Source organism: Homo sapiens, chromosome 9 (assembly GCF_000001405.40).
Source record: "Homo sapiens chromosome 9, GRCh38.p14 Primary Assembly".
Classification (NCBI taxonomy): domain Eukaryota; kingdom Metazoa; phylum Chordata; class Mammalia; order Primates; family Hominidae; genus Homo; species Homo sapiens.
The window spans coordinates 99,855,516-99,869,669 of NC_000009.12; the positions used below are offsets into that span (position 1 = coordinate 99,855,516).

Sequence of the window (14,154 nt, forward strand, 5' to 3'; positions counted from 1 at the left end):
TCAAAGAGTCTGTGGTCTCACTGGAGAGAGAGACAGACACATACTCTACCAAATCAAAGACGGTCAGACTGAAAAGTACCATTTAAATCAGCCTCAACACAGACTGCTGACTTGACTTGTCGCTTCCTGACCAGCGTGGGCTCAATGTCTCTGGGACTGCCCATCAGTAAAGGATGTTGTGTATGACATGAGTGATAGCAATAAGGTGAATTCCCAGAGAAAGGGGTAGAGCTCCGAGTGGGGAGTCCTGTTTGTTTGTGTTTGAGCTACACATACCTCTCTCTCCAGGGGCCCACCTTTCCTTCCCCTTTGGCTGGAACAGCATTGTTGTCACCAAGTTAGCCTTTGCCCTAACACCTGCTCAGAAAGGGGAGTTACTTTTCCCCTTGGTGGGGCTCCTGATGGTTACTATCATCCCTTTCTTTATCCCCTACTCCCTGCCATGAGGAAGAGAATTTGACATTTCTCATATAAGCCCAAGAGGCAGAACTGGGAACTACATATAGCAGCGGTCCCCAGCATTTTTGGCACCAGAGACTGGTTTCATGGAAGACAATTTTTGCTTGGACTGGGGTCGGAGGAATGGTTTCGGGATGATTCAAGCTTATTACATTTATTGCGCACTTTATTTCTATTATTATTACATTGTAATATAAAATTAAATAATTGTATAACTCACCATAATGTAAAATCGGTGGGAACCCTGAGCTCATTTTCCTGCAACTAGATAGTCCCATCTGGGGGTGATGGGAGACAGTGACAGATCACCACGCATTAGATTCTCATAAGGAACGTGCAACCTAGATCCCTCACATGCACAGTTCACAATAGGGTTCACACTCCTATGAGAATCTAATGCCGCCACTCATCTGACAGGAGGCGGAGCTCAGGTGGTAATGCAAATAACGGGGAGTGGCTGTAAATACAGATGAAGCTTCACTTGCTTGCCTGCCGCTCACCTCCTGTTGTGTGGCCCAGTTCCTAACAGGCCATGGACCAATACCAATTGGGGACCCCTGATATATAGGATGGCAAATTTTAGCTCAATGTAAGAAAAACTTTCACATAGAAAGAACCATTTGAAATTGGAATAAGCTGCCTTGAGGAGTGAGTTCCTGCTTTGGGGAATGAGGCTTACAGAGACTAGATGAACACTAGGTGTGGACTCAGTCAAGCATCTTATGGGGACTAGGATTGACTAGAGCAGAGCTTCTCCAGCATTCACATCACTGGGCATCTTGTTGCATTGCAGATTCTGGTTAGGTAGGTCTGGGGCAGGGCCTGCCTAAACGGATTCTGCATTTCCAGCAAGTTCCCCAGTGATGCTGATGCTGCTGGTCTGGGGACCACACCTTAAGTATCTAGGAATAAGGGAACCTATTGGTAATTAGGAATCCATGAAATTAATAGCTACCATTTAAAAATACTCAGTGCCAGGCACTGTGCCAAGGGCTTTACATGTGTTATTTTGTTTAATGTTGCTTAATAAATAAACTTGGAAGTACCTGAAATAGATTATAGCAGATACAGGAAGCATGGAGATCAGTCAAGAGCTATTAAAATAATCTAGATAGCAAAGATATTGAAGATCCTCATCCAGAGGCCATGGGTATTGAGAGGGAGATATAAATGCAAGGAACATCACAGAGATAATAACGGAAGTTCTTGCAATGGATTAAATATGATGGCTCGGGGGGAAGAAATTGTTAGAGATGATTATAAGAGTGATGTGAAAGGCTGTAATATCATTAATAGACAAGCTTAGAGACGTGGCTGATTTGAAGGGGAAGGTAATGGCTTGAGTTTTAGATAGAGAGGATACTTGCAAATATTCACTAAGTGCTCACTATATGCTAGGCATGGTTCCAAATACTTGACATGTATTAACTCGTTTACTTCTCATAACAACCCATAAGGCAGCTACCATTATTAGCACCATTTTACAAATGTGGAAACAGACCCAAAGTCACCCAGTTAATAAGTGGTCGAGGCCAGGGGTGGTGGCTCACACCTGTAATCCTAGCACTTTGGGAGGCCAAGGCAGGCGGATCACAAGGTCAAGAGATGGACACCATCCTGGCCAACATGGTGAAACCCCTTCTCTACTAAAAATACAAAAATTAGCTGGGCCTTGGGAGGCCAAACAGGAGAATCACTTGAACCCAGGAGGCGAAGGTTGCAGTGAGCCGAGATTGCATCACTGAACTCCAGCCTGGCGACAGAGCAAGACTCTGTCTCACAAATAAATAAATAAATAAATAAATAAATAAATAAATAAATAAGTGGTAGAGTTCAGGTCTACAGCCAGGAAATCTAATTCCAAAGCTTTGATGTGGTAGGTTTTAGAGTTTGTAAAGTTCTTTACTGTTGTTAGCTTCTTAATAACTCCCAACCTGTATATTTATTTTTAGCAGCTTACACTTTTAGTGCTTATATAATCATTTCTCACAGATTCTTGATCCTCTATGTATCAATTTAACAGATATTTATTGGGTGTCTCCTATGTACTAGGCTTGGTGCTGGAGATACAATGTTGAGCAAATACAGTTCATGCCCCCATGGTGCTTACAGTTAATGGGAGGAGAAAAAAATCACATAACTATCTGACTTCAAACTGTTGTGTCCTGCAAAGGGATAGATTAGAATGCCAGAGGAGAACATGATCTAGAATAGGGGTAAAAAGGGAAGCTTCCTTCAAGAAATATTTGATCTGAGATCCAAAGAATGAGTATATCTTAACCAGATGAGGATGGGAAAACATGAGCACAGACCTAAATATAGCTCTATTATTTCACTCCATCACTCTCTCCCCCTGACTCCTTCTTCCCTGGTTCCACCTACCTCGCAACCCCTCCCTCTTGCTCTAAGCAGAGATGTCTATGCCTGGATAGCCAAAATGCACAGAAATCCAACGGTGTCTTTAGGTGTTCATACCACACAAAGATTAGGAGTGTGATCTATCTGTCGCATCTCTAACCCCAGTGGTTATAACATCGCTTGCCACAGAATAGGTGTTCAATAAATATTTGTTGAAAGAAGTAGTTAGTTAATTTGGTGCACAGAAAATAGGAGAGAGTTATAGAAAAGCTAGTTCATCTCAGGACGAGGAGAAACTTTCTAACAATTAGAGATGTCCAGAGATGGAAGACATCTTGTTATAAGAGAAATATCTCTGGACTTAGAGTAAAAGAAAATAGCCCCGTGCTAATTTTGACTATGGGCAAGTCACTTAATTGAGGCTTACCTTCCATACCTATTACTTAAAGATAATCTTTGTCCTGCCTAATTCACAGGATTGTTGTGAGAGTGAGATAAGATAATCTAAGTAAAAGAGTGTTGTATAAAGTGCTATTAAATATATATGTGCTATTATGGCATAATATAGTTAACTCCCAGTCCAGCCACTACCTGACACTCTCTTTATGGTAGCTTGTAGTAGAGATTCTTGTCTTAGATAGAAATTTGAACTAAATAACTCAAACCCTTTCCAATCTATATATACAATGATTATGACACATAAGTCTATTACTTAACCATTTCTGTATGTTACATATCAAAGTTTTGAATATGTAATGCCAGAGTTAAAATACTAAAGCATTCTATGAAAATTATATAGATCAAAATGCAAGAAATATTAAGAAGCTTGTTTTGTTTAATGGTGGACAAAGACCTTAAACTAAAATCTGCTGTGTATAATTCTCTAGGAAGGGGGATAGTCCAAATGCCTGATTTCCCCCCGAATTTATGAACTCTGTATATTAGCTCCGTAGCCATGTTTACCAAGCTACAAGAAGAAAGGAGATCCCTTTAACTAAAATGTCAGTGATTAGGTTTTAAGGGATTTCAAATTACTAGGGAAGGACCCAGACACTTAGTGACTCCCTAGTGATTTGAAAATCTTCCTGGCTGCTGGCAGTAGTTTGCATGGAGACTGAATATTATCTCAGCCCTTTTGAAAAAGTAAAGAAGCTACAAATCCAGTGGCTGTTCAAAACAACAAAGAGGGTTGAGGTGCCTTTGGCTTCTAACAGGACTGTCTCTGAATTCCTCAAGGAATTCCAGGCCTAGAGTTGATCCAGCTGGCAGGAGGTATCGATCTCCACTTGAATTCACTGAATAAATAATGGTTGCCATAGTTATTGAGCAGTCGCAACTGGTTGGAGAGCAGGGAAAATTCTGCAGTACCTTCTGTGAGTTTGGCCATGAGAAAGTCTGGTTACAAGGTTCCACAATCAGCTCCCTCCCCAAATCCAGCCAACATATTACTCAGTTCCTGTATCCTGATGATGAATATGAGATCTTGAATGTTATGTAAGACATGAGACACTGAAAGGAAGGGAAAGCTTAAATCAATGGACTGGTATTTATTCTGAGAAAGGCGTCTCTCCCTAGGTTATGAATATAATTGAATATTTTTCATTATTAATTCAATTTAGTATCAGCAAGGTGATGTTTGATCATGTTATAGCATTCAAGGGCTTCACAAAGGACGAAATCCATCTCGTTCTATTTTAACATTATTATACAAAGAGCACAACCTGGACATTTTAAAAGGAAGGAAAATTTATCCCAAAACCCCATAGGTATTTTCACGTTTATATTTTCTTTCACCCTTCTCTATATGAAGAAATAATTTTTGCATAGATGGAATCACAGCTTTAGTATTTAATATTCTACTCTTTATTTAATGTTGTAAACGTTTTTTTTTTTAATTTTGCTTCATGGCCTTCACATTTGTTCTGTTTGATGTCTTCAGAATCTTCCCTTCCATATACCATTATTTACTTAACAGTTCCCCTATTCTTCAGCCCTTTGCCTTTTTCCAGTTTTTTGTTTGTTTGCTTTTGTTTTGTTTTGTCTTGGTAATAGATAATGCTGAACCAAATGTCTCCATGTATACAGTTTTATTCTTCTGTTAAATGTTTCCTTTGGATAAATTCCCAAGAGTGGGATTACTTGGTCAGAGGCTATGAACGATTTATAGCTCTTGAAATTTACTGCCAAATTTACAGCCTGTTCTTTTGTTTTGGGGAGAAAATAAAACTTTAGGCAGAACACCACTGCATGCAGGATTCTCTTAAAATTCATTCTCTTAAAATTCACAACAGTCTCTTCTGAGACTGAAACATGGAGCCTGTGTATTTAGTAATGATAAGCCGTAGGAGACAGGTCCGCACCTGGGCTGATTAGCTAATAGTTTCTCAGGGAAAGCAAAATGATGCACTGCAAAGCTTGGAAATTAGGCCACGAATTGCTTTTTGTTAGACCTTGTAGTTACCAGCCACTTGCCCACTGGCAAGCATTGTCTTTGGTTCTGATTATTCCATGTGTATAGCACTCTACAGCTGACAGACCACTTTTCCATAACATTATCTTAATTGAGCCACAATAATCCATGGAGTTGGGTTTTATTATCATTGTACTTTTTCTTTTAATTTATTACATAACATTGAAGACACACAGGAATAATAACAGCAAAGGCTGTGTATCTGCCACTCAATAATTCCGATTTTCCTGTGAAGACATTGAGCCTTAGAGAAATTAGGTCACCCAGCTAGTAAATGACAGAACCAGAACTAGAACCTAGGTCTGTCTAACTCCAGGGCCAGTGCCCATCTCTTTATAGCATATTGCATTGAGACAAGATGCCTGCAACTTACAGTCCATGGAGATCCCGCTGGCAATCTTCATGGTTGTATTTTAATATCATTATAACATATCAGGCCAGGTGCAGTGGTGCATGCCTGTAAGCCCAGCACTTTGGGAGGCCAAGGTGGGTGGCTCACTTGAGGCCAGGAGTTTGAGGCCAGCCTGGCTGATATAGTGAAACCCTGTCTCTACTAAAAATACAAAAATTAGCCAGGTGTGGTGGCACACACTTGTAATCCCAGCTACTTGGGATGCTGAGGCAGGAGGATCTTTTGAAACCGGGAATGTTGCAGTGAGCTGAGATTTCACCACTGCATAGCCTGAGTGACAGAGTGAGACTCTGTCAAGGAAGGAAGGAAGGAAGGGAGGGAGGGAAGGAAGGAAGGAGGACACATCAGAGCTTTGGGACCTTACAGATAATGAAGTTCAACCGTCTCCTTTTACAGGGCCCCAAAGTGGGAGGAACTTCCCCAAATCATACACAACTAGCCAAACTGAGGATAATGCAAATTTTCTGGTTCCCAGGCCTCTTATTTGGGACAAGAAAAAAGTGTCTGGATAGTTCTTCATTTTTCTTATTGGCTTTTGCTTCAAGGAAATAACTTTTCTAACAAAAATGCCCCCAACTTAAAAAATTAATTTAGAGCCAGGCACGGTAGCTCATGCCTGTAATTTCAGTGCTTTGGGAAACTGAGGCAGGAGGATCACTTGAGCCCAAGAGTTCAAGACCAGCCTGGGCAACATAGTGAGGCCCTGCCTCTACAAAAAATAATTTAAAAATCAACCAGGTATGGTGGTGCATGCCTATAGACCTAGCTACTTGGGAGGCTGAGGCAGGAGGATCACTTAAGCCCAGGAGTTCCAGGCTACAGTGAACCATGACTGCACCACTGCACTGCAGCCCAGGCAAGAGAGCAAGACCATGACTCAAAAAAAAAAAAAATTAATTTTGTAAAAATTAGAAACTATTGCTTGATTTCCCATTAGAAGGATGTCTTCCATCTCTCAAGAATTATGATTTTACATGTAAATGTACTGAGAGAAGAAAATTTCGAGATAACAGAGGCCAAGCTCTTCCTTTAGAAATGAGGCTCTGAGGCCAGGCACAGTGGCTCATGCCTGTAATCCCAACACTTTGGGAGGCCAAGATGGGAGGATTACTTGAGGTCAGGAGTTCGAGACCATCCTGGCCAATATGGTGAAACCCCATCTCTACTGAAAATACAAAAAATTAGCTGGGCATGGTGGTACACACCTGTAGTCTCAGCTACTCGGGAGGGTGAGGCAGGAGAATCGCTTGAATCGGGGTGGAGGAAGTGGGGGAGCAGTGAGCCAAGATCGCACCACTGCACCCCAGCCTAGGCAACAGAGTAAGACTCTGTCTCAAAAAAAAAAAAAAAAAAAAAAAAAAAAAAAAAAGAGAGAGAAATGAGGCTCTGAAGTCTAAATGTTGAGGAAAAGCATAGTGATTTGTTGTGGATGTCAGGCTCCCTTCTCATTGCTTTGGAACAAGAGACCAGTATTTGCCTCAGAAAACTGGGTTCTAATCCTAGCTTTTAGCAGCTGAGTGACTTTGGGAAATTCATTTAACCTTATACATAAGATAGATCATAGTATTTAACATGGAGATCATTTTATATATTGTTTTGTAAAATATAAGATACTGGTATTTGTGTCTTAATACATTATAACATGCCTGCACCACATCCTTCTGGGCTTCCTCCCCTTCTCTTTGGCTTTTCCATCTCCACAGCAGGAGGACATGTGTATTTTGTACAGAGTGCCAGGTGTAGGTCAACAGGGGTTTCAAGTGGGGGGGAACAAAACAAGGAAAAGAAAAGCTGAATTCTTCTCAGTGCTGGTTAGCATGAAAACACAGGAATGCACTTTGCTGTGTTGGGTCTTTTCGAGCAGCCCTTGCATTAGCAAATGGAAGTTACAGCCTCCCCACCTCCCTTAAATGAGTCTGTCAAGATAGAAACATTAATTCATTTGCCTGGATGTGTTTCTATGTCACTCTGAAAAATAGTTGCCTACTGACAAGGCTTTGTGAGAGCTTAGTAGGATAATGTATGCAAAATAATAACCACCCTGCCATTCATTCCATGTGGCTGTGTGCCAGGAACTGTGCTTCCCTTGTGTTACTTACCTAAGCTGGCCATCCCAGAAACCCTGAATTGGGTATGATCATTTTCTTCATCTCATAAGGAAATGGGTGCTCAGAAGTAAAGAGACTTACTCTAGGGCACACAGCAAGTAAGTGTTGGGACTGGGATTCAAACCTTGGTGTTGCTTCATACCAAAGGCCATGAGCTATCTCTAACAGGGAGGGCACTTTGATTGCAAAGAAGCTATCCAAACTGGCAGAATGAGACACAGACCTCAATTAGGGATTCAAAGTGTCTTAAGATGTATTTGCCTCCTAAACTTCTTGCCCTTCTCTATCCCTCTGCAGAAAGACATGGGTTAAAAGAACCAAAGAGAGTCGAAGAGCTATGCAACAAGATCACAAGCAGTTTAAAAGACCACCAGAGTAAGGGACAGGCTCTGGAGCCCACCGAGTCCAAGGTCCTGGGTGCCCTGGTAGAACTGAGGAAGATCTGCACCCTGGGCCTCCAGCGCATCTTCTACCTGAAGCTGGAAGACTTGGTGTCTCCACCTTCCATCATTGACAAGCTCTTCCTGGACACCCTACCTTTCTAATCAGGAGCAGTGGAGCAGTGAGCTGCCTCCTCTCCTAGCACCTGCTTGCTACGCAGCAAAGGGATAGGTTTGGAAACCTATCATTTCCTGTCCTTCCTTAAGAGGAAAAGCAGCTCCTGTAGAAAGCAAAGACTTTCTTTTTTTTCTGGCTCTTTTCCTTACAACCTAAAGCCAGAAAACTTGCAGAGTATTGTGTTGGGGTTGTGTTTTATATTTAGGCATTGGGGGATGGGGTGGGAGGGGGTTATAGTTCATGAGGGTTTTCTAAGAAATTGCTAACAAAGCACTTTTGGACAATGCTATCCCAGCAGGAAAAAAAAGGATAATATAACTGTTTTAAAACTCTTTCTGGGGAATCCAATTATAGTTGCTTTGTATTTAAAAACAAGAACAGCCAAGGGTTGTTCGCCAGGGTAGGATGTGTCTTAAAGATTGGTCCCTTGAAAATATGCTTCCTGTATCAAAGGTACGTATGTGGTGCAAACAAGGCAGAAACTTCCTTTTAATTTCCTTCTTCCTTTATTTTAACAAATGGTGAAAGATGGAGGATTACCTACAAATCAGACATGGCAAAACAATAATGGCTGTTTGCTTCCATAAACAAGTGCAATTTTTTAAAGTGCTGTCTTACTAAGTCTTGTTTATTAACTCTCCTTTATTCTATATGGAAATAAAAAGGAGGCAGTCATGTTAGCAAATGACACGTTAATATCCCTAGCAGAGGCTGTGTTCACCTTCCCTGTCGATCCCTTCTGAGGTATGGCCCATCCAAGACTTTTAGGCCATTCTTGATGGAACCAGATCCCTGCCCTGACTGTCCAGCTATCCTGAAAGTGGATCAGATTATAAACTGGATTACATGTAACTGTTTTGGTTGTGTTCTATCAACCCCACCAGAGTTCCCTAAACTTGCTTCAGTTATAGTAACTGACTGGTATATTCATTCAGAAGCGCCATAAGTCAGTTGAGTATTTGATCCCTAGATAAGAACATGCAAATCAGCAGGAACTGGTCATACAGGGTAAGCACCAGGGACAATAAGGATTTTTATAGATATAATTTAATTTTTGTTATTGGTTAAGGAGACAATTTTGGAGAGCAAGCAAATCTTTTTAAAAAATAGTATGAATGTGAATACTAGAAAAGATTTAAAAAATAGTATGAGTGTGAGTACTAGGAAGGATTAGTGGGCTGCGTTTCAACATTCCGTGTTCGTACTCCCTTTTGTATGTTTCTACTGTTAATGCCATATTACTATGAGATAATTTGTTGCATAGTGTCCTTATTTGTATAAACATTTGTATGCACGTTATATTGTAATAGCTTTGCCTGTATTTATTGCAAGACCACCAGCTCCTGGAAGCTGAGTTACAGAGTAATTAAATGGGGTGTTCACAGTGACTTGGATACACCAATTAGAAATTAAATAAGCAAATATATATATATATATAAATATAGCAGGTTACATATATATATTTATAATGTGTCTTTTTATTAACCATTTGTACAATAAATGTCACTTCCCATGCCGTTATTTTATGGTTCATTTGCAGTGACTTTTAAGGCAGTACTGTTTAGCACTTTGATATTAAAATTTTGCTTATGTTTTGCTAAATTCGAATAATGTTTGAAGATTTTTAGGTCTAAAAGTCTTTATATTATATACTCTGTATCAAGTCAAAATATCTTTGGCCATTTTGCTAAGAAACAAACTTTGAATGTCAAACTGATGTCACAGTAGTTTTTGTTAGCTTTAAATCATTTTTGCTTTAGTCTTTTTAAAGGAAAATAACAAAACTATGCTGTTTATATTGTCATTAAATTATACAATCAAACAAATGCCAAATGAATTGCCTAATTGCTGCAAAGTATAACCCAGATAGGAAATCATATGTTTTTTTCCAAGAGTCATTCTAATATTTGATTATGTTATGTGTGCTTTTATGAAAGATTGTTATTTTTATATATCAAGATGATAGAACCTGGAATGTTAGGATTTTGAAATGTTAGACTTGGAAGGGGCCTGGTCTGTCAACTAGTCCAACCCCTTAAAATTCATAGAGGAGCAAACTGGGGCCCATTGAAGGGTGAAGAGTTACTCAAGGTCAAACAGCTGGTAACAGAATCAAGACTAAGACCTAATTTACCTTTCCATACTCTTTTTTTTTCTCAACTTCATCTATATAAAATCAGGCTTTTAAACATAACCACTAATATTTACCTGAAGATAACCATGAGTAAAGTATACTTTTGCATTAATTTTTTGAGCTTATATGCAAACATAATAAATATTATTAAATATCAGGAAAGCTAACATTTCATACAAGATAGCTTCAGACCAAATTCAAATTGAATTTGAATAAATTAGAAATACTGTGCATACATAACCTTCTTGTGCACCATGAGTATTTGGAAAGTTAATCCTTGTTTTTGTCGTGTCTATAAAGGAAGAACAAAACAAAATAAAAACAGAGCCCTAGAGAAATGCTGTTACTTTTTATTTTTACACCCATCAGATTTAAGGAAAAGACTTTTTAGCCATTATAATCTAGTGGTTGGAAGGAATGAAGAAGCTTTTTTAGTAATAGGTCCAGATATGAGTGCTAAAAATAAAGATGATAGCATGTTCTTCTGTCTTCCATAGTTATTACAACTATGAGAGCCTCCCAAGTCATCTTATCAACTCAACTCCCTTTTTTTTGTCTTAATGTTGCACATAAGTTTATACAGAGTGGATGACCACACTAGCACAGAAGAGAACAACATGTATTAAAGCAGGTGATTCCTCCCCTTGGCGGGAGAGCTCTCTCAGTGTGAACATGCCTTCTGTGGGCGGAAATCAGGAAGCCACCAGCTGTTAATGGAGAGTGCCTTGCTTTTATTTCAGACAGCAGAGTTTTCCAAAGTTTCTCTGCTCCTCTAACAGCATTGCTCTTTAGTGTGTGTTAACCTGTGGTTTGAAAGAAATGCTCTTGTACATTAACAATGTAAATTTAAATGATTAAATTACATTTTATCAATGGCTACTGGTGTATTGAATAAGCCTGCTTCATTTAACAGTTTTCTCTTAATTATTATGTAATAGTATTTGCTGTGAACTCTTAAGCACATCCCCAAAATTGATTTTTTAAAGGCTTAGTAATGCTGAAAAATTAATAGGATTTCTGTATTGGATATATATTAAACCTTACTGATTGGAAAGAAGGACATTCTAAATTCAATAACCATTTATTGACTGCTTCCTAGGGGCAAACCACTGCCGAGTGCTTTGAGGAGATACAAACATGCACAGTGTGTGAAACTCCTATTTTTCTTTCAACTGTATATAATGTAAATAGAGCTAAAATTTGTTGGCTAAAAGTATTCTTTAGAGGTAAGAAAGATTCATTTCTATATCAAGACAATATGATACGGTTTGTGAACCAACATTTCCAAGAATCAAGGTTACAGTTCTCAAAGATGGATGAGTGCTCTCTGCCTTTTTGTTTAAGCCATCACTACTACATTACTTAGAAACCCCTTCTTTGTGGGTAATACAAATGCAACTTTTATTCAACTCTACCCAAAACATCATGTGTTCTGAGTTAGTGCAAATATGCTTTTTGGGTGTTGATGGCTCAAAAATGTGGGAGTTCTCATGACTTACTTCATCAGTTCATGCATAAAGTATTGTCTGTGACATCTAAGTACAGATGAATGGATAAACAAAATGTGGTATATAAATACAGCGGAATATTGTTCAGCATTAAATTATAAATATATTATCTGTGTACTGTGCAGACACAGTACTTAGATGTCACAGACAATACTTTATGCAAGTGTTTGGTTTAGGAGCCAAACACTTCCTCCCGCTTCTCAACAGGACCTTCATTACTCAACCACAAACTATGATTAGTAAGAAAAGAATGACAGCTATAGTGGAGTGCCATCTGACATAAATTCAAATATAGGTGCTCTTATCAATAAAAAACAAAAGTAAGTGCTTGGCTACAATAAAAAATAAATAAGAGGACAGGGTTAAGCCCCTCCTCGAGGGACAATAAGGACAAAGGTGTGGTTTGAATGGGGAGGGGACCAGGAAGAACAAAGCTAAATAAAGGGGCACTTGCCTATGGTTGAATTCCTACAGGTTAAATGCAAAGATAAACACAAGCAACTAATTTCTGACTTTAAATTGTGGTAAAATACACATAAAATCTACCATCCTAACTGTTTTTAAGTGTACAGTTCAGGAGTGTTAAGTACATTGTTGAGCAAGCAATTTCCACAACTCTTTTTCATCTTGTAAAACTGAAACTCTATACCCATTAAACAACTCCCCATTTCCCCTTCTGCAGCCCCTGGCAACCACCATCCTACCTTCTGTCTCTATACATTTGACTACTCATGTAAGTAAAGCCATACAGTATTTGTATTTTTGTAACTGGCTTATTTCACTTAGCATAATGTCCTCAGGTCCATCCATGTTGTATTATGTGCCAGAATTTCCTTCCTTTTTAAGGCTAAATAATATTCCATGGTATTTACATACCACATTTTGTTTACCCATTAATCCATCAATGGGCATTTGGGTTGCTTCCACCTCTTGACTATTATGAATAATATTGCTGTGAACATGGATGTGCAAATATCTTTTCAAATCCTGCTTTCCATTATTTTGAGTAATTGTTGACTTTTGAGCTTAAGCGTGATTCAAGTGCTTTTCAAGAATAATCTTGATTTTATGTGGGGTTTTTTTGCCTTAGGGACTGATTTCAGAGCCTTCCCATTTCTTTACCTCAGGAGGCATCTGAGGTTGCTCCATGAACAAGGCTGTTTATAAACCATTGTTCCAGGGCTAGGCTGAAAACTGAAAGGACTAAAATCTAAGAGGCTTAAGTAGTTCATCATCTTTTCTGAACAATCTTCTCTAAGAAGGCCCATCCTTTGCCCAACCAGTTGAAAATCCCATCAGTTTCAAAGAGGTTTTTGCACCTTCTATTATTTACCATCCCTCACGATGTACAAAATTCTTCACGAAATGCTTCAGCAAAGTCTTCCTCAAGGTTGTCTCTGAGTTGCACTGTGACACTGACATGGGCAATGCTTGTTTTGTTTGGCTTTTGTTGCAAGTGCACTGTCCTTCCTGTTTTAGTTTTTCTGTCTCTGTCTGACTCATTTCATGGCTCCATCAGTGAGCTCAGGGATCATCAGCCCCTTCTCTGATTACCTCCTGTGATGCTGGCCATCCCCATGCTGGGCCTCTAAGGGTACTTGATTTGAGGGGAAGAGAAGACAGACCTAATGTTACTAAACAAAACTCTGATCTGCTCACTCAGTGCACAGAAAAAGCCAAACACTGACACTGGGATTTGCAGTGATAGAAAGTGAGGCATTTATTGCAGGGTGCCAAGCAAGGGGATCGGGCAATTAACACTTAAGACCCTGATTCCCTGATGGCTTCCAAGCAAAGGTTTTTGAAGGCAGGGGTACATTTCAGGAAAGCAGAAGTTACAGGCAAAATCGTGAGTCCAACATGGATGTTATACATTGGTTTGGCCTGAAAAGATGAGCTATCTTGAAGTGGGAGCTTACAGGTCATTGGGTGGATTCAGAAATTCTTTGATTTGCAATTGGTTAAGGAAAGAAGGTTTTGTCTAAAAACTTGGGTTCAGCAGAAAGTAAGGTTAATGTTTGGCCTGTGGGTGTGACTCTTATCCAGGTCCCACAGGAAGAAATTTAGAAGAAAGAATGGTGGTCAGTGTTCAATCTTCAGGTCCCCTTTATCTAAGGTCTCCCTGACAATGGCCAGCATTTTTTCAT

General features: G+C 39.4%; 1 protein-coding gene across 3 annotated transcripts in view; it reads left to right on the forward strand.

The window, feature by feature from the left end:
* The window catches only part of NR4A3 (nuclear receptor subfamily 4 group A member 3), a 45,007-nt gene extending 33,631 nt beyond the window's left edge, over positions 1-11,376 (forward strand). For all 3 annotated transcript variants that reach the window (NM_173200.3, NM_006981.4, XM_017015162.2), the window contains one exon: positions 8,105-11,376. In NM_173200.3, coding sequence (NP_775292.1) covers positions 8,105-8,352 — 248 coding nt within the window. In that variant the 3' untranslated portion in view covers positions 8,353-11,376. The remainder of the gene's footprint in view (positions 1-8,104) is intronic.